This window comes from Homo sapiens, chromosome 10, assembly GCF_000001405.40.
Source record: "Homo sapiens chromosome 10, GRCh38.p14 Primary Assembly".
Taxonomy (NCBI): domain Eukaryota; kingdom Metazoa; phylum Chordata; class Mammalia; order Primates; family Hominidae; genus Homo; species Homo sapiens.
The window spans coordinates 85,431,565-85,456,445 of record NC_000010.11 but is presented as its reverse complement, the minus strand read 5'-3'; the positions used below and the strand labels follow the sequence as shown (position 1 = coordinate 85,456,445).

Here is a 24,881-nt window from a genome sequence, read left to right as displayed (position 1 = left end):
AGCCAGACAGCTCCCAGCTCCCATCTTCCTAGCTCAACTTTGGGCAAGGCAAATCTCTTTTCTTAAATGGTCCCTGACTCTAATTCTTGCCTCAATTTTCACCCTGTTTTAAAACCCAGCACCTCATTGTAGTTTCCCACATCAGATCTATACTCTCAGCTACCAGATATAGCATTGAAACTTGGATGTCCTACAGTAACTTCTACAACTGAATTACCCCCCAGCCTCATCCCAAATAATCATGGTGAATGGCAGAAACATCTTCATAGGAAGATAGTGGAGAAATTTCAGAGGCACACTTGGTTCTCCCTCTCCACTCACCGTGATGTCTAGATGTCCATGTGTTTGTTGCTAAGCTTATAACATATTTTGCAGCTACTCCTTTCTCCCCCTCCCACTGTCCATAGCCATTTTCCATCTTTACTGTGTGCCTCTTGACTGGCCTTCTCCATCTGCCCTCAGTGTCCTCTAATCCGTCCTGCAGCTGAATTACCTGGCAGGTTAGTGCCACGCGCATCTTGGACTGAGCAAGCTACTCTCCTTTCGAACATGCCCGGCTGCATACGTAGCAGTCTGTTCTTTGTCTGCCATTCCAAAGTATTTCTGATTTGGCACCAGTCTACTTTTTCATATGAATCTGACCACATTTTCCTGCCAGCATACTGTGCATTGCCCTGTTCCTGGAAATTCATCAATACTTGAATACACTCTTATTTTTCTGATTTCATGCCTTTATTCAGATTATCCTACATATGACCTTTTTTCTATTGAATTGCTTCCCTTTTCTTCTAGACTCAAAGAAAATGCTAATACCCTTCTAAACCCTTATGAGATCCCCTGTCTATCTTCTCAATTAATGTGCCCCTCTTCTATTTTTCGATATTGAATATGAAAGTCAAGTTCCTCCCATAATAAGAGTTGAGTCATTTTGTGCCTTATGAGCTTTCAAGTTTGTAGCCAGAACTTCTTTAGTTTGAAAGCATATTAGGGATATTCAGTTCGTAGCCATTTTTAGGGTTTTCTGAATTTTTTTGTGTTAGCCACCCCTCCCCACCTTCCCATCCGGGGTTAAATGCCTGCCCACAGGGCCCCCTTTCTCTCAAATGCAGTTTCACTCTTTGGAAAATGCGCTGGGCATCTTCCATTTGCCTCTCTCACCCTATTTCCAACCCTTCTTCACCCTGCTCTGTGAGGCTAGGGGCTCAACTATATGGATTGTATTGATGGGTTCCTTTGCTGCCTGGCTTCGGTTTGAGTTTGTCCAATACGAAGCCCCATTAGGAGACTGGAGGGTATCCTAATGCAGGGTCTGGCACGTAGAACCCAGCAAACTCTTTTGATGGTAAGGGTGGGTGGGCTATGTGCAAGCAATTTCTGATGCTGCTGAGCCCTGCAGTAATGGTACTGGGAGCTGTCAGTATTGTCCTTCTTATGAACTTCTTGGGCAACAGTTAGAAGGCATCTCTAGAATGCCACAGTTGTCAGCACATGGAGATTGCTTAGTAAATGATGGTGGAATCAAATGGAATCAAACCCATGGCTGAGTCCTTCTTTCTCCTATAGCTGTTGGAACTCAGAGATGTCTACTACTAGTGGCAGGATAATATACTTGGGTCACATAATCTCTTTTTTGCCCAAACTTCACTGTTTTCCTATATGGATGAAATTCCCCAAAGGCTATTTTGATTCTTTCTGGGATTGAGAGAACATGGCAATATTTGATTGGCAGTCCAGAAAAGGGAGCTTCTCTGGGAAATAAGACTAGACAAGGCAAGAGGCTGCTGAGTGAATGAAACAACTAGATCTCTGGGGAAGTGGAATCCCAGCTCTTGGCTGAGACAGACTGTGGTTAAGCAACTCCCCAGAAAGAGCACTCCCTCAGCCTGGCACATAAAGCTGCCCATTCCACTTTGGCTCTGCAGACCATGCTGGTGTTATTTATAGGGAAGAGAAAAGTAGTTGAGAGAGGTCCTAAGTCATGGCACTGGGGCAAGTAAGTAGCATTTCTGAGGAGTTGTTACAGTGAAAGGCCAAAGTCTCTGGAAAGAAGCACAACGAAAGTAGTCTGAAATGGAGAGAGATGGGTTAGCCCTCGATGGCTTTCGATGTGCAGTGCAATGCTGTCCTGAAGTGAATTCCAGTGGTAGTTTTCACATGAGCCTAGACCAGCAGCATTAGGGATACCTGGGAACTTTTAAGAGATGCAGATTCTCAGGCCCAACCCCAATATATGGAATCAGAATCTCTGAGTGAGGAGGGCCCACTTGTGATTCTGAGGCTTGCTAGTATTTGAGAGCAACGAGTTCGAGGAATCTGTTGTTATCACTCCTACTGGTATACAGGGTCTACTAGTGGGTATTGTAGGCTAATGTGGAAGTAGTGTATCCCTTTCACTGCCTCTCCAGAAAGATGGCACAACACAGAGAGACTTGGAGGCTTGGTGTGGGGATGGAGAAGGCATTTATACATAAAAAGCTTTGACTTCTCTCTTCAAATTTCATCTAAATCTTGTGTGTTAGAGTCCGGGATGGCTGAAGGGAGGGAGATTCTCAGCAAGAATGGAGGGGTGGATAACAGTCCTGAAGGGACTCTGGGCTCCTGTATTCAAATTGGCACTGGGGGTTCTGCCAGCCCCCGGCTCAGGATTGCATGGGGGAACCTGGGTCATGTCTCATTTCTGAGATTGAGAAACTAGAGAAACCTGCCTCACCTTCAGTCTCCAGCTATTGCAGAACAGAACAGACTTGAGAGAGATGCTCAGGCAGAGATAATCTCAGTGTATGAGTCAAGACACTGGCATCAAGAAGCGTCTCACAGCCCAGGAGCCACAAGTAAAGGAAAGTAAATTAAAGGCAAGAGGCTCAAGGACACATCATCAGCCCAAAGTTTCTGGCTCATGGGTCTCATTAGGTGGATGAAGCTCTGTTTCTGTGCACTGATGTCTGACATGGGACAGATGATAATTAAGGCAGAGACCAGCAGAAGCTCTGTTCTGCATCCTCAGAATCCCTCTGCTTGGTGAGTGGGCCTTTTATTGGGAATTTTGAATAGATGCAAAATGTTGATCATGTTATAGTTGGCACTATGCTGGCTGTGGGGCTATTTGGAGATCTCCAGCTGATATTCTGGTGATATTTGACAAGGGGATCCAAGAACAATCAAATCGCTGTAGATGCCATTGACAAGTCACCTTTCCCTGCAAGGGCCTCCCGGGAAATATGTGTGCAGAGCAAAAAGCCAAGCGAAGCAGCACTTTATTCCTAGCACAGCTCTGATCAACTATGGTGAACAAGTGCAGAATGTTCGTCAGAATTTAAGGAGATTCCTGACCTTGGGCGGGTCACCTGCTCTTACCACCTCCACCTGAAAACCTACCTCTGTGTCTTGGAACTCCATTCCACAGTTCTGGGGCGGTCACACACAGGATGAAGTAGAGTAGAATGCCAGAGATGGGAAGCATCTCTCACAGGAGACAGATGCTGGGGAATGCAATTGAGAGGAAGGAGGAGAGGCACACTCCCATGGGACCCCTTAGAGGTTGACAGAGATCCAAGGCACTTCTATTTTTGAGTCTCCTGATACATCAAAAACACAAAGAAATTGAAAAGAGGGTCATAGAATTTATAGACATTACATGCTTACTTTAAACAAATTAGTGTCTTTAACAAATATAAGGCAAAGATAAAATTGTAAAATATAATCCCAGAATTAAAGAAACAAAACAAAACAAAAAACCTCATGTAGCCAATATTACAAGATGGTGCTCCAGGAGGCTTAGTGTGGGAATGGAGAAGGTATTTTTGTATAAAAAGCTTTGACTTCTCTCACATTTAAAGTTGTGTGATGGGTGTCTTCTTCCTTCAGCCAGCCAAGTTAGCTCTATGACTGTGTGTAATTGTACTGAACATAAATGTGTGGGTCAAAAAGTGTGCATTGGAAGCCTCTGTATCATCAGAAGCATTAACTGAATGGATTTTCTGTTTTGCCACCCTTATGATGGGCTCAGACCTGTCCCAGCCAAATCTTCCTTTTCAGTGTGGCAGGGAAGATGGCATTCAACACAGAGACCTGAACTCAGCATAGGACCACACATACTGGGCAGGCCTGTCCTACCAGACTAATGGTAGATGATTCTCACCTTCACCCACCCAAGGGGAAGGACTAGGAAGCAAGAAGAAGAGCCTCTATTTCCTCTCTTAAAAGCAACAGAAGGCCGGGTGCGGTGGCTCACGCCTGCACTTTGGGAGGCTGAGGCGGGTGGGTCACGAGGTCAAGGGATTGAGATCATCTTGGTCAACATGGGGAAACCCTGCCTCTACTAAAAATACAAAAATTAGCTGGGTATGGTTGTGCGTGCTTATAGTCCCAGCTACTCGGGAGGCTGAGGCAGGAGAATCACTTGAACCTGGGAGGTGGAGGTTGCAGTGAGCTGAGATTGCACCACTGCACTCCAGCCTGGCGACAGAGCAAGACTCCATCTAAAAAAAAAAAAAAAAAAAAGCAAATAAATGATAATAATAAAAAGCAACAGAAGTCTCATGGTGAGCCTCATGTATTCCTCACTATCAAGAGAACAAAGAGATGTAGCATCTTGTTCCAGATCACAAAAGGAAAAGCAACTTGGCTGAACCAGGACTCCCCTGGCTTATGATTGCTCTGATCAGGGATTTCATTGCTGACATCACTGGAAATAACCATATCTCATTTGAGCATCTTGAGCTTACCTGGCATTCAATGCACCCATAAAATTTTTGTTGGTTTGTTTTATACAAGAATCTATTTGTCACTTCCTCAGTTCCTTTCTGGCTTCCTCAACAGCTCCATTCTCTATGGACATCATCTGAGAGTCAGGGAGAGGCAGGAGGATGACAGACTTGTCAAATGGCTGCTGAAACATTTGACTGCTTCCCCAAGAATCTGAAGCCTTTCTGGCAGCCATCTGGGAAGGTTTCACCGAGAGAGGTGGGAGACAGGCGGGGTGGGTCTTCCTTGCTTCCGTGCATTTGAGCTCAGGCGCTGGCCCATTTATCTGCTGCAGTGAAGCTCTACTAATGCAAAAGACGTACATTTGGCACAGAGTTCCCCAGAGAGCAGTGAGGATAATAATGCCACTATTCATTATTTTAAAACAAACACAATTTGGAGTGTGGATCTATCTGGAAGTGCGAAATTGGTTCCTCTTAAAGAGCAACTGGCAAGGGAAGAGCACGTGACCAGCCCAAGGGCAAGGAATTCCACTTGGGGCCAGCAGTGCAGTGTCACAAACTATAAGCTGGCCCTGCCGGCTGAGCTGCAGTCACAATTGATGTTGGAATATTATAAGAGATACCTAACATCCATTGAGGACCTATTAAGTGCTCTGTGTGCTTGATCTCATTGTCTCCTTACAACTACCCTATATCATAGACATTGTTTTTTCCCATTACCATAGGAAGAGACTGAGGGTCGGATCAGTGGACAGCCTTGGCAGAGAAAACTTCATTCCAGACTGTTGGGACTTCCAGGCCATGCTCTTTCCACAGTACTTTGTTGTAAGTGCAGAGATAACACTGAACTGTGAAACAAGACACTCTAGCTTTCCCTCAGAGCCAGGAAATGGTATGAGAAAGTAAGGCATGCAAAAAGGAAGAAGTCCTTCCCACTGAACAAGTCAAAGCTAGATCTGACTTCCAGCTTGGCCAACTCCAGGCACCAAAAACGGTACAACATTGGATAGGTTGTTTGCCAGTTCTGCCCCAGTTCTCCTATCTGTGAAAATGGGATTTGAATGAGATAAAAGCTATACTCTTAAAGGTCTTAATTTTGCTAGAATCTTATGCCAGCAGGAATGTTATTCACTGACCCACCCAGGCACTTACATGTTTAAAAAACCCCCACACTGGCCAGGTGTGGTGGCTCACGCCTGTAATCCCAGCACTTTGGGAGGCCAAGGCGGGCAGATTATGAGGTCAGGAGATCAAGACCATCCTGGCTAACATGGTGAAACCCTGTCTCCACTAAAAATACAAAAATTAGCCGAGCATTGTGGCGGGCACCTGTAGTCCCAGTTACTCAGGAGGCTGAGACAGGAGACTAGCATGAACCTGGGAGGCGGAGCTTGCAGTGAGCCAAGTTCGCGCCACTGCACTCCAGCCTGGGCGACAGGGTGAGATTCCATCTCAAAAAAAAAAAAAAAAAAAAAAAAAAAAATCCCCACACTGAGTCGGAACCCAATCTAGAACCACAGGGCTGGAAGTTACCTTTAAGGAGAGGGCAGCTCAAAGCCCCACCTGATTATGAGATTTTATTCACAGAAACTTCAAAAGAAGAATCTGCTCTGGAATTCTGTGTTTCCTGGGAGCTCTTGTCTTGCAGTCATTTGGAGTTTTCCGTCCTTGCTTGATGGAAGAGTGTCGAGTTGAATTCACAGTGCTGTTCTTGAAAATTGTTTCAGAGATCATGTGAACGGTGTGGGGTTGGCCTCTCTGGACTTGATATCTTGATGTGATCTTACCCTGAAGTCCCAGTCCACTCTGCTGGTGATCTTAAAGATCACTGTGATGCAATGGAGAAAGCATGGTTTGGAATCACACCACTCTGGGTTGTTCTATCTTCTACGTATGCATCCATCCTGGGCAACCTGCCCAACTACTTGGAGCTTTGGCCCTCTCATCTGTTAATTGGAGAAACTAAGGTAGCGTTACAGCTTGAGCATTAGATGGGGCAACTGCATTAGATGCTGGATGTGAAGCAGCTGATACAATGCTGGACCCAGGGCCAGTGTTCTTTCCCCTCTTCATGCCCCTTCAGTAAAAAGATTCCTCCCCTGAGACATGGTTTCTGGACTTGGGATGACATCTGGCACAGTAAAGTCGTAAGAGCTCTGTCTCTGAAGGTTTTTGGGGGCCATCGGTCCTTTTGAGAGCAAAATGAAATTTGTGAACATTTTCCTGAGAAGAGAATCACACTGAGCTATTAATGCTGACACTCACTTTTAAGAATCTCCTCCCAGAATCTCAGTCAGGCATTTCAGGGGTCTCCCTGCCTTTAGAGCTGCCTGTGATTCAGTTCACAGGAAACAGGCAAACCTTTCCCAGACCCTGGGAAGACACCGAGAGAAGAGGCTGAAGGCCAGGTGGATCGCCTGCTGGCCTTTCCTAATTGCTTTTCTTGTGCTTGTGTGCGAATGTGCTCTAGTTAACCTGTGCTTCCTGTACCCCATGTCCCTGGCACCTCTTCTCTGATCTGTGACACCAGCAGGAGCACAATTAGTCAGGAAGAACAAAAGCTCTGAGGTGCATGGACTCAGCTCTGACCTCACCAGATGTTCTGGCCTGGTCGTTTTCATGTAGGTTTCTGGAGCACCCTGGAGGCTGCTGGCTACTCCTCTCTAGAGCACTCCCTGGTACACTGAGGTGGTCGCATTCCTCTATGTTCAGTTATCCTGTGCAGCTACAATCATCTGTCCTCAGGCACTTCACTTACAACAAAGCCAGAGATGCCCATTTTATGAGATCAAGGCTCCTTTATTTATGACATGACAGGAGAACAGAACAGACTGCTACGCTTTAACGTGAGAAGAAGGGCCTCTTGATTCCCAGCCAGCCCTTTGCATTTGAAACCTGGCAGCTCAGGCAGCAGCATCTCTGAATGTAGGGGACAGTCACTGGCAGCTTGCTCAAAAGGGCCGTCTCCTGGGAAGGGGTGCCTCCAATTTGTCTAATTGTCTGGCTCTTTTTCCCCCCGAGTCCAGAGGATCTGTACCTGGGTCACCCTTGATGACACCCAGTAGATTCTAACATAACACCCATCATTTCTGGAGCTCCTTCTTGGTGCCAGCACATGTCACTTTGTCCTTTCTCCATACTACCCTGTTTGTGTGTCCTTGTTCCATGCACAACAGACCTGGTTACAAATGTTTACATCTTCCCAGTGGCCACATGCAGCCCCTTCCATCTTCCCAGCAATCCTCCCTTTCTCTAACCTTCTCTAGCTCATTACCCTGTTATATTTTTATCTGTAGATCTTACCATCCTCCGAAGGTCTATTATTTATTTATGTCTTTACCTGTTTATTATCTCTCTTGCTAAAGGATAAGACCATGAGAGCAGGCCCCTTTCTCTCTTGTTCATGTTCTATCCCCAGGGCAAGGACTAAGCGCACAAAATCAGTTCTGTTGAATCAAGAGTTCGTGACAAATGCAGTGATATATTATTATATGGATTCAAAACTTTCCCCTGGGTCTTGTTTTGCCAGGAAATTTATTCATCCTGGAAAGAAGGATTCAGGAAACTTGGCAGATAAAGAGACTGAGATTAGTTGTATCTCTGAGATAAAATGTAGTGCCACAAAAGTGGACTACACATTACAGACACTGTGGAGGTTTGTGGGTTCATGCAATTGTTTTGCCTGCCCTGTTTCTGAGCACCTAGATTTCATCATTGATACCTGCTTGCTCTTCCCACATCTCAAAATCACCTTCAATCATGGACATGGGGTTTCAGACTCCCTAGAGGTGGCTCTCTGTGCCATATTGTGCAATCCAATGGCCAATTGTTGTTATGCAACTATGATGGTGCCCACAATGATGATCACAGTCTCACTGACATGCCAGTGTGGGTCTTGTGGGCAGGATCTTGGAGCAATAATATTTCCTTTTTCGAAGTGTGGTGCAAGAAGCCATGGTGGTTCATGCTGTTCTCTGTCCAGTTGCCAGGAGAAGCTGGGCCAATTCTAAGCACATGGGGTCTGCAATGGTAATGATGTTGAAGATGATGATAATGATAGGTAAAATATATGGAGCACTTGCACTGTGGTAGCAACTTTGCTGAGTACCCTGCACATTGTTGCATTTAGCAATCACAACCATTGAACAAGGTAAATCTAATGATCATCCCTACTTTGCAGATAGGAAGGCTGAAAGAAGCGAAATAGCTAGAACTTGGGGTGATTCTGAAGGCTGCACCTTTAGCTGCTGTGTTCTGTGGCTTTGGTTGTAGCTGAGGTATAGAAAATAGATTAGAAAGTGCATGCCTAGGTGTGGAGGGGATGGTTGGGAGGTTCTTGCAGCGGTTCAGGTGGGAGTTGCTTAGAGCTGAGGCTGGCAGAAACAAGGCATGGTTTTCTTATGGTACCACTCTTGACTTGAGAAGCAGGGAAGATAAGTTCCAGTGAAAAGACAAAATGACTGCAAAGAAAAGAATAAAAATGCCCTCAAGTGTGAGGCTGAGAATACCAAGGTGCTGCAGGCCAGGAGAGAGCTTGCTTAGCCCAGTGTCTTGGTGGTGAGAGAATTCGAGTCTATGAGGGACCAGGCTGCTCTACAGAAACCAGAAAAAAAAAAAAAGTGGGTAATGGTGGTGCTGCAGGAGGGGTGGGAGAGGCAGAGTGGCTGGGCTGAGCAAACCCAGTCCCAGCTGGGAAGTGACTCAGAGGAGCTACTACCTCATGATGCAGTGAAAGATGTCAGTTGGAGAAGCCTATTGCAAGATTCAGAGAGGGTAGGATGATTTCCAGACATCAGTCAGAGGTGCTGTTTGGAAACCAGGTTTCCAAGCATTTAGCAAGCTTGTCTTCAGAACAAGGGTTTTTCAGAACAAGATTATTCTCATCACTTGTCCTGCATGTCCTCTCCACGTGTCATTTCCTTGAAATATTTTCTTGATTTTGGAGGGTCTGTGAACATGAAAGAGAATATTTAGTTTTTGCTAATTTCTTTCTTTCTTTCTTTTTTTTTTTTTTTTTTTTTTTGAGACAGAGTCTCACTCTGTCGCCCAGGCTGGAGTGCAGTGGCATGATAGTTCACTGCAACCTCCGCCTCCCAGGTTCAAACGATTCTCCTGCCTCATCCTCCTGAGTAGCTGGGACTACAGGCATGTGCCACCACACCTGGCTAATTTTTCTATTTTTAGTAGAGATAGGGTTTCACCATGTTGGCCAGGCTGGTCTCAAACTCCTGACCTCAGGTGATCCAACCGCCTCTGGCCTCCCAAAGTGTTGGGATTACAGGCGTGAGCCACCCACCACACTCGGCTGCTCATTTCTTATACAAACATATATGACCCTTTCCTAATTATCAGGGTAAATTGGTTTGCAGAAAGCATGGACAAAAAAAGATTCTAAAACATGTATTAAGCACACACTGTCCTGGTATGCACACAACATATAACCATGATCCAACAAATCCCACTAGTCACGTTTTCCCAAAACTTCATAAGACACAGCCAGTGTTCACTGGGTTGTGGCTCTGCTCTCTAGGAAGAAAACATTTTCCAGTGCCCTTGCAGTTAGGTGGGGTTCAATGACTAGCTCTAGCCAATGAAGAAGAGTGAGAATAAAGTGTGTCACTTCTGGGCTGAGTTATTAACAGCTGTTTCTCTTTGTCCAGACTCTTCCTGGCCTGTGACCTTGGAGGTCATCCACTCAGCCTAGGTCCCTTAATCGTGGTGTGGAGCAGCATCCAGGCTGCCAACCCCATCCCAGACTCTCCTTGAAGATGTGGATCTACAACTGATGAAAATCTTTGTTGTGATAAGCCACTGACATTTTAGACATGTTGTTACTAATGCATAAGCTATTCATTTTCATGATCTTTCCTTTGCCTGGAATGTCTCTCCCTTTTTCTTTTCTAAGCACGGCAAACTGCTACATTTTTGAAAATACCCAGCTGTCATATTAACATCTTGTAGGGGATTTTTACCACTCTTTAGCACAATTACTTTCTCTCTTTACCCCCTGCAGCATCTTGCAGACACCTTCTTACTTTGCATTGCACTTATCTTCCTCTTGTGAGTCTGTGAGCCCTTTGGAGACCAGGACCATGTGTTATTTATCCTTCTATCCCTAGCACCAGCACAGGTCTGGCTCTGGGAGGGAAGTCGCACACCAATACTTGTCTGATTGAACTTGGACAGGCACCGTTGTGTCTGTAATGAGATTCATTGAGACTTTTCCCCAAGGTCACACTCAGTTTCATTCATTTAGATCCTTGCCTCTAGAGTCTTCGTGGTCAGTAAGGCCTCTTTTGTGTTGCCTTAACATTGGGTCCTCTGGATATGTCCCTAGATGTTTAGAAAACTGCTCCTGAGGGTGGGTGGCTCCTTTCTTCTCTTTGGTTAGCTTCTTAATTTTATTAGATTGTTGAGTCCTAGAACATGCAGCAGTCTGGATTTGACTAAACCACACTGGAATATTAAAGCACGGGCTTTGGGCATGGATATGATCCCTTCCACCTCTTGCTATTGATGTTACCTCAACCAAGTCATATCCTCTCCCAGACACCTCCATCCCTAATCTGGAAGAATGATAACAAGCTCATTCAGGGCTGTTATGGGGGTTAAATAATATAGTCACTTAAATAAGATAGCCACTTTTCATTTTTCCTTACTAACTGACAAACTGCCAAGTAAGCATAAGAGAGAAAAAACATGTGAAACTCTCTGGGCACCTTCCCTTCTCCCTCCACCCCTGTCCAGGCCTGGCTGATGGAGAATGGGCAGTCACCTCTGCCAAGCCCACCATGGGCATTACCACTCACGCTGTTGGGGGAAGCCCCACAATTCCACTGTAGGGTGCTGATGGGGAGGCTGCTGGCTGATGCACACATGGCTGCCTGCCGCAGACACATACATTCTATGTCAGCTGTGATCTCTGGAGGATGCAGGGGCTGGATTTGTTTGAAGCCACCACTTTCCAGATCCAGGCCGTTAACTGAGGTCTAAGGATGGATCCTCTATGGGGTGTCTGTGACACAGAAATTACATAGTAATGGAGGCGTTTATATTTATTTTTTTCCTGAGGACAGGATCTAAAGCATTCGTCGATTTCTCAAGGAGTTCTATGACCCAGAAAACATGAAGGGATGGCAAATCCTATGTGGCAATCCATGACACAGAAGAAAGCAGCTTGGTCCCTGGCACGCTGTGGGCTCCAACACACATGAGGTGTGAGAGGAGAGGGGAAAAGGAGGTGAGATGTGCGAGAACATCCCCAGGGCCCGGTGTTTCCTCTTTTTCCCAATGTGTTAGAATGGGGCAGTCAAAGGAAATCTGGGGGCAGGACTAATTGAACAAAGTCAGCCTAGGGCCATCTGTATTGCACCTCCTGGGTCAGGGCCTTTGCCCTGTAATCCCAATGAAGTCCCATGACTGATCTGTAAGGGTGGTGCCAATTAGCCACATTTTACAGGTGGGTGGAACAAGCCCAGGGATGCCAGACTACTTTTCCAAGGAAAACCAGCTTGTAGGTGATTGATCAAGGATTTTAAACTCAAATATGTGTGACCCGCATGCCAGAACTTCTGAAGAGGGAAGTGAGAATATAGAAGAATAGTCACCATCAGTAGAGGCCACTCAGGAATACTTGTTGAAGAAAAGAAAGGAAAAAAATATAGAAGAAAGCAAGGAAAAAAGGAGAAAATCTTAAATCTTAACAAATACAAGAGTTATGAAAGACCCAGGGACTAACATCACCATCTTGGGTAATATAGAAAAATGTTTTTTTCCTAAAAGATTATAAACATGTTTTCATCTTTTTTCCTTCTTTTCTAGGGAAACTTTCCTTCCTTCCTTCCTTCCTTCCCTTTTTCCTTCATTCTTTTCTTCTTCCTTCTTTCCTTCCATTTTTTTCTTCCTTTTCTTCCTTTCTTCTTTCAATCTTTTCTCCTTTCTTTTCTTAAACAGATGTCTCCTGAGCCCTTCTTTTGTGAAACACTGAGTAGAGGGCATTGAGGATGATACAGATGTGTAAACATTCCTAATGCCTCCCTGCTATCAAGAAAATCTTAACCTTTTAGCGTGCTTATATCTAAAGCCAATGGAGGAAAAAAAAACTTCCCAACAAATGAAAATCTAAATGAAAATTTAGGAGAATAATTGTACAATTTTTGGATGAGGGCATACTTTAGAGAAGAAAACTTATAATAAAAATACTATGTATGGCAAAATATATGATGTATTAATCAAGTCTCTTGCAAGTGAAAGAACAAAAGTGAAATTAAGTGAAAAGAAAATTTCGAGGCATTCATAGGTAGCTGAAAATCCAAATTGCATGTAGCACGAAAGGTCACTTTCCTGAATATGTCAAGGACTCCCACTCTTGATATGTTGTTTAGATAGATAATAGCTAAGTGAAATAAGATATGAAGAACACATTGCTGATTAACTGTAAATTGCTGTAACTTTTAAGGAAAATAATATCAGTGTACAGAGTGCAGCTGAAAGTATCTATATATGTTGACCTTTTGGAAGGTGATATTACAAACATGAGTACAACATTTATCACAGTAATGTTTGCAGTATTCAAAAGAGAAAGCACAGAGATAAAAAAAACAACCTAAATATCTACCAGAGGGGAATGGTTGATTAAGCCACAGAACATTCTTACTATCAAATTTTATGCTACAGTTAAAAGGGAAAAATGAGGTGCATGTTTGTGGGTCAGAGGGATTTAGCAGTCATTGACTACAAAAATCAAAGGGTTCAGTCATGTGAATAGCATCATCACACTTCTGTAAAACAATTAAAAATGAAAAAGGCTTTTATGTGCATATCTATCTATTATTTATCTATTTATCTATCTATCATCTATCTTCATATGATTAGAGAGAAAGGCAAGGATAGACACTGCAAATGCTGTTTAACTCAGGTGGGATTAGGAGATGGGGAGAAGATTCAATAATATTTTTATAACTCTGAATTTTAGAATATGGTAGAACTACTATGCATTATTGTTATTTTTAAATAATAAAACAATTTTTAAAAGGAAAAAAATAGACCATCAAATAGGGAGGTAAAATTCAGCATGCTCCTCTTCATTAGGAAACAGCAGGTAGCCGGCGAGGCCCAATCCTGTACAGAGTTGGTATTTGACAGAACTCAGTTTGGATTTTTAATTTTCACTTTTTGGGGTGGCTGCATTAGCTCAGGACCCATCTTACAGACAGGAAAGTGGACTGACAAGAGTGAGGAGATGTGCAAAAAGATGGAAAAATCACAGCCTCTTAAAATTAAGAAGAAATGAGAAAATAGACGATATGCTACTTGTAGTATAATTGAAAACCTGCCAATGTTAATTATGACTGGTGAAAAAAGGACAATTTTTATCTGTGTTGTAAATCAGCATAGTTGCTGAATATTGTTCACTGCCGCCCATTCTGTTTAGGGCAATTTATTTCTATTGCCCTATAGGTAAGTAAGCTAAGCTTACTTTCAGCAACTGCAACCAGTTGAGTCCTGATGTACACAATTAAATTAAAAAAAAAAACGTGAGACACTTGCTGAAGTGAGAAGACTTGGGGAATTTTTTTCCAAAGTGTAAATTAGCTGGAGAACACGAGTCTTGGATGGTTGTATCGGTGCCAAAGGATGAATTAGTTTTCTCAGATACTGCCGAGCCGCATAATAAAGGTTGTTTCACAGGCTTCCGGTTCATATGAGCTGCTTAATTTCAAACCCTGCCTGTCTCATAAGCAACTGGGTCATTAACCTTAAAAATATCAACTTGTTCATATTCATGTGAAGTGAGTTACAAGCCAAGGGACCCTGAAGACTCGGCAGGCATTATGGGTGTGCACATAATACTCTGTCCTCACACTTCTTCAGACCCAAAAGTAGGGAGATGCAGAGACAGCAGGGGGTGGCACACAGTAGTCTCTCAGTCAGATTTGAGTGAGTCCCGCGGGAGGAGAGAGGGAAGGCAGGTGTGGGAGGAGCAGGATGCCACAGTGGAAAATCCAGGGCATGGGCTGAGGCCAAAGCTGACCATGAACACAGACTGGGGAGGGTCCTAGAAATAAGGGTTCAACCAGAGCGGCATGGTTGTGTCCAAAGGACTTTGTGTGGGGAGAAGGATGGGAGTGTGTCTCCAGCTCTCCCCCTACCCTGGCCCCTGGTTCTGCAGGCCAGCCCCTCCATACTTTTCATGAAGAGTCCACAGCTCCACAGAAATGATAAATGCTTGAGGAGATGGATATTCTAAATACCCTGACTTGATCATGACATGTTCTATGCATGTAACAAAATATCACACATGCCCATACATATGGGCAATTATTATGCAACAATTAAAAATAATAATTCACAGCTCTCCTGGCCTGGGGAAAACAAACTAGGTCTAGGAGTCCCACATTCTTTTATTGACATTTTATATAAAGTCAATGGCCAATTATTGACTGTATTAGTCTCCCATAACCAAGTTCCACAGACAGTGGCTGAAGCAGCAGAAATTCATTCTCTTGTACCCCTGGAGGCTGAAGGGCTGAGATCAGGGTGTCAGCAGGGTTGGCTCCTCCTGAGGCATCTCTCGTTGGCTTGAAGATGGCCACCTTCTCCCTGTGTCTTCACATGGTCTTCCTTCTGTGTATGTCTGTGTCCTCATCTCCTCTTCCTCTAAGGACACCAGTCGTATTAGATTAGGGCCCATCTATATGACCTCGTTTTACTTTCCCATTAATTACCTCTTTAAAAGCCTTCTTTCCAAATATGGTCACATTCTGAGACATTGGGGATGAGTATTTTGGCACATGAATTTTGAGGGTTGGATACACTTCAGCCTATTTATTTCTTTTGGTATATTTTCCACTCAAATACCATCAACTATCCAGATAGAAATGTGAGTGTGCATATGTATATGTGTATATGTGTGTATGTATGTGTGCATATTTGTGTATGTATGTGTGACTGTAAAATGACTAGTTTTCTCCCTGATAATGCTTTTATCTCCCTACTTTTCAACTACACATGACAGCCCTCTGGGCTGTGTGCCTTCCAAAAGCATGACAATTCTATCTCTGGAAGAGCAAGTTCTCTCTGAGTACCTGCACATAAAATGGCTTTGAAACCCATTTCCATTGCTTCCCTCTGAGTTGGACAGAAGCACTGACTCCTCAAACAGGACCTGAAGTCAGAGTTTGTCTCTAGATCTGATTCTGTCAGGCCCCTCAGCCCCTATATGCGGAGGTGCAATTTATGAAGTGCTCACTCCATAGCAAATCCTTTGTCGGATCGTCGATGGAGTTCAGCACACTGGCCTTGTATGACTGCCTTTGTCTCTAAGGCACTGTAAATGCACAGGCATATTTGCATGTTGATTATTATATATCACTACATGTCAGGCATTCTAAATGTTCTGCAGAAGTGAATTCATTTAATCCTCACAATAACTCTATAAGACAAGGACCCTTGATAGGCCCATTCTACAGATAAGTAAACCAAGGCTCAAGGAAGCAGAATGACCTATCTGAGGTCAAACACCCAGCCAGTGATAGGTCCTGCATCTGAAACCAGGTAGCTCAGAGCATATTTATTCTTCACACAGTCTTGTGAGAAGGGGGCTGCTATCACCATCTTGCAAATGAGGAAACAGATTTATAGCTGTTTGGACCCAGGAGTGTCTAACTCCAAAGCCGTTTTTCTTTCTATTGTGCCAGCCTGTTTGCCTGGACACTGCCTATTCCCCAGCGTCTCGGCTAATCCTCCCTCCTGTCACACATCCCTTGTGAACACCCAAAGTCAAGCATGCCTGCTTCTTTACATCAATATTAAAGAGCACAGAGAGCTGTCAGGCCTATTTGGTGAAACAGAAAAGGCACAGGCTTGTTTCAAACCTCAGCTCTTTTACTTTCCAGCTTTCCGGTCCTGGCCAAGTTGCTTTCCTAAATTTTAGTTCCCTCATCATAAAAGTGGAGATAAAAAATAACTAGGTAATAGTGAGTCTTCAACATTCAACAAATGTTAGTTAATTTCTCACCATGTTACTGTTGAGCAGGGTAGAAAATTTTTTGCCAAGTGACCTCTGCTTCTCCCATCAGGAGACGACATTTACTTCCCTGCCCCAGAAATCTGGACTGGCCTGGTGGCTTGTTTTAGGAAAAAGAAAGTGATAGAGCTGACAGTGTGTTAGTTCCACACCTCAAAAGACCTTGCATGTTTCCACCTTTTCTCTTGAACTCTTACCATGACCATGAGAACAAGCCTGGATTAACCTGCTGGAAAATGAAAAACCACCCAGAGCAGAACAGTCATTCCAGCTGAGGTCACTGTAGATGAGCAAACCCCAGACAACTGGCCAGCTGACCACAGATGCATGAGCTGGGTTCAAGCTGATGACCCAGCCATCTTCTTGTTGCCTGAGAAATTCTATATGAGTGCTATTTAGGTCATTAATTTTGCTGTGCTTTGTTATGCAGCAATAGCTAACTAATACAATCATATATTATCAGTACTATTTAGAAAAGGCTCAAAAACATGATCAGCTTTATCCAGAGTAGTGTCCTTTCCCTTGTCTTCATGTGTGCTCTCATCTGCATGCTCCTGTTCTCCTTGTACATACATGAAAGGAACTCCACATTGGCTACTGCTGATGTTTCTAATGAGTGAGAGCAGGAAACATTTGTTCCCACGGGTTCAAATAAACTCTCTTTGCATATGCTTCTCGTTGTCCTTATGTCAATATTAGCTTATGGAACTAGAATCTTTTTTATGAGAGCTTTAGAGTGTGATTTTAGCAAAGAGACTAACACTTCTTTTGGCAAAGAGAACATAATTCACATGCCATTAAAGTGTTAGAGAAAGGGTCAGCTTCCTCCCAACCTGGCCAGTTCAGCAGGGCCAGGGGCCCACAATCATGATTCTGAGCTTATCCTTCTGTTTTGTGGCTACGGCCAAAGCACTCTGGTTACTGACCTGTCTGGATGGCCAAGGCATACCTCAAGTTCCCAAGTTCCTGTAACAACCATTGGCCTCAGATTAGTCTACAGAGCTGTGGCATTTACCAGGCCTGACTGTAATTATTGTGTGTGTGTGTGTGTGTGTGTGTGTGTGTGTTCCTGACATTATGTTACACAGCAGTGAGATTAAAAATGGTTGTACTTTATGGAGTCCTGAGTATTTATGACAGGTGCTTCTTACCTCAGTTGAAAGACAGGTCAGGAATTCCCACTAAAGTTATTTGGCTCCGGAGCACCTAACAGTCACAGCTATAGTAAGTCACAGCTACAACAGTCACAGCTATAGTAAGTCACAGCTATAGTAGTCACAGCTATAGTCACAGATATAGTAAGGTACAGGTGTCTTTGTGCCTTTTGATTCTAGCACAGTATCAATATGGTTCCCTAGTAAATGTCTTTTGTATGAACCTAAAACCACTGTTCATGAAGAAACCCTTCATTTTCTTCCCCTTGACCTTAAAAAATTTCATTTCTTTCAGAGTCCACTATAATTGTTAGGATTCTAGGCTGGGTTCAGGTTTCAGCTCCAGCCCTTTCTACCTGGATGATTCTATATAAACTCAACATTGATGAGTCCCATGATACAGGTATAAAAAACACCTAATGCTCTCTCCTGCCTTGTAGTGTTGTGGTAAGGAAGTACACATAGGTACTCAAACAACTGAATACATTATCAGGTGCCTAGAATACTGCTTGACATATGGTGGTGGGAGTGATTAAATAAATGTCACCTGTTCTTCATTTATACATCTGTTTATGTGACACTATCAGAGAAGTAATTACTTGTCATCTCTCATGACAAAGATAGAGGGATGGAAAAGACCTGGCCTCTACTGAAAAGTTTCCTTGTTGGGAAGGGGAAGGTGCTGGTATGAGCATGTTGTTGTCCACAGGGGCAATTGCTCCTGTCATGAAAACAGAGGTCTGAGAAAGCCCAGGGACAGCAGTGTCTAATTCCTCTTGGGTTCAGGGAATTGGGAGAGGAGTCTCAAGATAAGGCAGTTTTTGAGTTGAGTTTAGAAGGATGAAGGGGAATTTCACAGCTGAAAAGGGCAGGTCTTCCAGGAAGAAGGAAGGGCCTGCAGGAAGGAGCCAGGCTGTTGTAGGCCGACATGGAGAGAAGCTGGGCAGAAGGGCAGGCAGGCTGTCAGGAGAGAGGTGTTGGGACAGAGCTGAAAAAGAGACTGGGGACAGAAGGAGGTCCCCGAGCTCTTCAAGAGGGTCTTGTTTCCTTCAGCTGCCTGTGTAAGGGGGAGGGAAATAATGTTATTTTGGATGTTGGGAGCAGAATTCCACTCAGGGAGAGAATTGTGCTTGTTTAAAAACAAGCCTTAATGGGACTTTATGGATATGATTGGAGGCCCCGTGGGGATTGTCTGAGTGGGTTGGGGGTTTATCAAAGAAAGCTAAATGTTCATGCTTAGAGGAATTAAGGGGGAAGCGTGGGTGGGAGAGAAGGAGATTGATGCAGGGCAGAGGAGAAGCAGGTGAGATAGTGGGAGAAGGGAGCAGCAGGAGGTATTGTCCTGCTCAGAGGGATTGGCACAGTTGTGGGTGCAGGGGAAAGGGCGTTCCAAGGCTGCTGAGAAAAGGACGAGGTATGTGTGGTTCAGTTTTAGGTTGTTTGCTAAGCAACACTGCTGAGCCTCTTCAGGAAAAGCAGCTGCAAATCCAAAATGTCTGCAGGAATGGTGTTTTCCAGAAATCAAGGGACAGGGCCTGGGTTCCAGGTGAGAGATTAAGACAATCACCAAAGGAGGGGAGCATCAATATAAGCAGAGAGCAGAAACTGGGTGACATAATAAAGGAAGTCCCTGGGAAATCACAAAGAATGGGCAAATATGAAACTTCAGAACAGAAAAGCATATACTTTTGAACCAATTTTATTTAAATATTAAGGAACAGAGAGATGCCAGCTGTCACCCTTGGCTACATGTGTATGTCATATGTCACCCATGATATTTGCATGTATAATGTCTTTTTAGAATCCTATGTGCAGATACTACATCTTCAGGAGAAACAAGGATGGCTGATTAGGAGGATATTTTGAATTGGGGGCTTTCAATGTATCATAAATGTTCAGGGCCACCTTTCTTACTTGGTGATATTAGGATATCCCAACCTTTTGAGTTTTTTTCCAGCCTCTTTTTCACTAAGACTATAAAGACTATAAACTAGTCTTAGTGAAAAAGACTAAGATCATAGGAATGTCAAAACAGTGAAAGGGGTGGCAGGAATGTTCTAGAACACTCAGTGCCTCAGACACAGCTGAGCATTTAAAATTCAGGCATCACTGAACAGAAAAGCACCCAGAATATTATAAGCAAAATACAGGAATAGAAATGCATCCAGAATATTATAAGCAAAAGGGAGGTGCTTTTGGAAGGACATAGCAGTTACCTGAAGGAACCTGAGGAGTAACAGCCAGGTCTGGGAGGGAATGAACATGGAAATGAAAATTTAAGAAGCAAGGTCATTGCTTGTCTTCTAGGGGCCACATGGTATCTTGATTCTGTTTCTTCCAGCTAAATTTTTTGTTTTCCTTTATAAACAACTTCCTTCACCCCAGCATGCCAGGGGTGCCTCAGTCCTGCTCTAGTGAGGCTCTCAGTTCCAATGGGCTCCAGAAGCCTGCAAGAGCCCCTCCACCTCAGTCCAGGTTCCTGGAGCCTGAATCTCACTGGTGTTACTGTGGGAGGCTCCCCTTCCTCCAATCATTTGTCTCTGAGTGGAGGCAGATCACATGGTGTCCACATGGCTGCAGGGCCTCTGCTGCTGCACTATGGGCAGTTCCCAAAGAGGGAGATGCAGGCTGGAAGTGAACTCATGTGTGCAAAATGTAATGGTTTCAAAGAAAGAAGATGAATAGTAAAACATCCACCTGCCTGTTGGCCAGCACTACTGCAGTGTACTGTGTCTCCACAGCAAGGAGAGGACACTTTTAAAGCGCTGCATCTGTATAGCTGTATGCCAGACACTTTTATCTTCTCTGGCTTTCTTCCATCAGCTACTTTGAGTGGAAGACACAGCAGTCCCCATTTTATGATTAGCAACTCGTTTGGGACCTTATGAAGACATTCCACTTGAAGGTGCCCACTTTCTTCATGAACTGGAGAAATCTGATGGGCCTACTTTGGAGCCACTCAGCACCACAGGTCCTCCTAACCCCTGGCTCTGCAGGTCTCTTGAACATACTAGATGCATTAGGTGGCCTTGCCAAAGTGGCTGGTCCCATATCTGGTTATCTGCTGTTGCAGCAGCACTTAAAAGGGCCAAAGGGTCACAGATAGACAATCATCCTGTGAAGAGACTGATGGTGAAGAAAGGGCTTTCGGGAAAATAAATGGATCAATGAGAGGAGGTGGCTTAGACTACATATGCATGCAGGTGAATCCTGTGCACATAGACCCTGCACAGGAGACCCCTTTCATACATATGTGCACATGCACACCCCTACCCCACATACCTACACAACATATGTGAATATTTGTGTATATACATATATATTAGGAGCCCTGTCTATCTACAGTGTGTCAGACCAAGGATTTAATCTCCACTTTGCCTTTTGCCGCCTGTGGGATCCTGAACAAACCATTCTCTCTCTGACAGTAACTTTCTGCATCAGTTAAAATGAAAGTAATTATAGATTTTTAAAGATGTGAAAATAAACTAATATATGTAAAATACAGTGCCCGACACATATTTTGCTATAGAGAAATTCAAACTAAATATAAACTACATTTAAACTACGCTTACATAGACTCACGTACACATATTCATTCATATGAATGCGTGTGTGCATATATGCATTCCTATACACATTACATTATTGCATATATACAAGCACATACCAATACCAGTCGTGTTTACCAATACCAATACCAGTTTTAAATACCAATACACACAATAATTTTATACACATCTGTGGATAGCATTAACATTTATGCTCATTCATATATTATACATATAATCTTTAATATACACATTCATGAACATATATCAACTTGATCTCAGATACACCACACTATTAGACACACACATATATCCACAGATGCATACATACACATATTATATGTACATGTATGTATGCATACATACACATATTATATATGTATGTATGCATGCATGTATATAAACACACATTTTACACATTAAGAATTCATCTCTAATATTGAAAAAAGTCAAAATAATTCGCTACATAGCTCTGAAAATAACTCTCAGGTAGGTCAGCCTTATTGCCTCATGTATGGAAAACGGCTCCTGTTCCTTCTTTTAGAGAAAAATATGCATTACTTATTTATCTTCATAAGCCTATTGGTGGCAGAGGAGGACCTTGTTTCATGTCAGGCACACAGGAGAGATACTACTTTCCTGCCTGGGGAGAGGAGCCAGGTCCATGAAGATCTGGCCTATGTTTGGGATGCCACAGGGCAGCTGTGAGATGGGCTGTTCTGATACAGAAGCTCTATCTTCAGCGCTGGCTCACAAAGGCCAGGCTTGGGTCAAGCAAGGTGGTTTGCTTCTCTCATTGATACACCCTCAGGTGAGCTGCTGAAGAGCTGCAGTTTTTATTCCTGAGCCTGTGTGGGTTGTGGGAGGATGGGGAGGGCTGTGTGCAAGGCCCCAGAGTTCTCTCAATCCATCTGCAGAGCCCCCAGAGTCCTTGGGAAACTGAAATCGTGTTCGGTGGCTCTGAGGCAGGAACACAAGCCTGTCGTTGGCACTGTCTACTGCTGCCTGGGTGTCTGGGGCCTCCACACTCAGGCCCCCATGCCATGGCACAGGTCTGTGTGGGGTCTATTGGTTTGTGAGCTCACTTTGGAGACTCAAACGTGAAGGATTAAAGCTGCAGGCAGAGCTGGCGGGAGGCTGGCCTGTTGCAAGAAATGGCTGGTTGTGCTCCATGAGGAAGGACACCCTGCCACCTTATTTATATGGTCACACTTTCATTTATAAATTACAAAAGGGATGAAGAAGGAAGACTTTGATCCATCAAATTTATGGATTCAATAACTGTTGCCATTTCAGACAGCAGGGTCTCTGGGGAATATTTTCCCATGTATGCTTAGGTAGCAGAGAGGGAGAGACAAATGCTAAATATTCTGCTGTATTTATGAAATGTCAAATGTGCTTTCCGGGGTAATTGCATGAATATTGAAAAGGCTCACTGAAATTTATATCCTTGCAACTGAGTGTTTGGGGATGCTTCTTGCCAGCAGCCCCTTTGCAGACGGGACAACAGCCTGGCGCGAAATGCCCAAATGAAATGGGATCCAGCCTGGCCTTTCCTGGCCAGCCATTGCCAATGCAGCTGGACAACTTGGCCTGACTTCATGTACGCTTCCCATGCAAGAAGTCCATGTCAGGCCCAGTGGACACATTCAGCGTAACTAGGGGACTTGGTTAATGTTAAATATCCCATGATAATTCTAAAAAAAAAAAAGGTTTTACTGTAATTTTCCCCAGATCTGGTGGAATAGCATATAGCGTATCAGAATCTAGGTCTATTCTCTCGGAAGATAAACCATTCCTCTGTTTTTCCAAAATCCTAGCATGTTCTTTGACCAAGCAGGACATTCTTACCTCTGGCAGACAAACAGTCTCAGCATTAACTGAAGAAAAACAAGTGGCCTTTCCCAGCCATAGACCTTGAGTAGCATTAAAACATGGTGTGGTGGGGGTGGGGGGGGTGCATCGTAGTTGGTATTTCCCCCTTTTTTAAAATTTCAGTTAAGTCAGTTTAATAGTCTCATGAGTCATTCTCACGTTCTGTTTCTCTTTAACCACCCGTACCCACCCCATCATAGATCTGGCTGCTTTAATCTCAGAAATGTCTCTTACAACCCTAACTTGCTTTGCTCCCAGGGTGGCTTTTCTTCATGATGTCATAACTTTTCTTTATGATGCCATAACTTTACAGACACATCACCCACTGTCTCCCCATGCATACTGTGCTCTGTCTCCTCAGTGTTACTCATGCTGCCTCCATCCCTGGTGCCCTCTCTGTATCTCTGTGCCTTTGTGCACACTGCTTCCTCTGCCTGGAAGCCCTTCTTCCTTTCTCCACACAACACATCCCTCCTTACTCATTAAAGTCCCGTACAAATGCTAAAGGCAGCTGATCTTGTCAGCAAACTTGGCCACCAAATAGAAAATCTCCTTCTATGCCCACTAGTCATGGACAAAACTCAAAAGTTGCATGGGAACTTCAGTTATCGGGCAATGTTACCAGGGTTTGGGGCAGAAGGAACAGATAAAAGGGACAATTCTAAGGAAGATGATTGAAAGACTGACCCCAATGTGGAGAGGATGATTCCAGCACTACTCGTACTGCACTAGGTGAGCCAGGAGCTAGTAGGAAGGGTGGTGTGGAAGAAGGTCGGGGTGAAACTGGAGAAATTTTGGAAAAGAAAACTACATTAGAGGTTATGGGCTTTCTGAGGCCACCAGAGGTGAATGGGAGAAAAAAGAGTGATATCAGCTAAGTCATGTACTTTTCTAATTTTCAGGATCAGACAACTTGAAATCTGCCTTTGCTTTTATTGGGCAATCTGTTCCAGGGATCACAGCCCCTACCTGTAACTGTCACCTCTTTTGAGGTACAATTACATTCTTTCCTCTCATCCCATTGCAATGTTTCCATGCTGAGAGGGCTCCAGAGAGATGTAGGGAAGCTCTGCTAGTCTCTGTGCTGAAGCTCAGTGCCTGGCATACCTCTGCCTTTGATGAGGCTCTGGCACAGCCCTGCATCATTCTTCATTTGCCTGCGCATTAAAGAATGCCCCTGGTGGTCATCAGAGCGCCTTGTGTCAGAGGCTTTGTCTACACCTCTCTGTGCCTAGGTTGCAAGCACAGCTTTGGATTTTTTTTATCCTCCTCTCATGTACTGATGTTCAATTTGGGTGAGTTCCTCTTCTTAGCCTTATTCAACTGAAAAAAAAAAAAAAAGAACCTGATTTCTTTTGGCCATATGCTGCATTACAAAAATGCCTAAGGCCTTCAGTTTAGCAAATTAGATCCCAGATGAGGTTCTGAGCACAGACAACTTGTCAAATGGTGGGGTAAAGTTTACGTTTCAGGCTCACCTCTACTGCCCATCTGGATGATGCCCCAGTGACCCACCATGGCGTGTGGGTATTAAAATAATAGTAGAAATCTCAATCAGGAGGGAATTGTA

General features: G+C 43.9%; 3 long non-coding RNA genes across 3 annotated transcripts in view; 1 reads left to right on the top strand and 2 right to left on the bottom strand.

Moving 5' to 3' along the window:
• The window catches only part of LINC01520 (long intergenic non-protein coding RNA 1520), a 42,410-nt gene extending 35,556 nt beyond the window's left edge, over positions 1 to 6,854 (bottom strand). The window contains exons 1-3 of the long non-coding RNA NR_120671.1: positions 6,270 to 6,854; positions 4,725 to 5,045; positions 3,376 to 3,575 (exon numbers count right to left, since the gene is read on the bottom strand). This is a non-coding gene — a long non-coding RNA (long intergenic non-protein coding RNA 1520). The remainder of the gene's footprint in view (positions 1 to 3,375; positions 3,576 to 4,724; positions 5,046 to 6,269) is intronic.
• Positions 6,855 to 7,489: 635 nt separating this feature from the next.
• Positions 7,490 to 23,583, bottom strand: LOC101929662 (uncharacterized). The gene is made up of 3 exons (NR_120670.1): positions 23,288 to 23,583; positions 11,516 to 11,721; positions 7,490 to 9,654 (listed from the first exon to the last, which is right to left on the bottom strand). It is a non-coding gene; the product is annotated as an uncharacterized LOC101929662 (long non-coding RNA).
• A 90-nt stretch (positions 23,584 to 23,673) lies between these two features.
• Positions 23,674 to 24,503, top strand: LINC02647 (long intergenic non-protein coding RNA 2647). Its single transcript, NR_120669.1, has 2 exons — positions 23,674 to 24,043; positions 24,214 to 24,503. It is a non-coding gene; the product is annotated as a long intergenic non-protein coding RNA 2647 (long non-coding RNA).
• Positions 24,504 to 24,881: the final 378 nt, after the last annotated feature.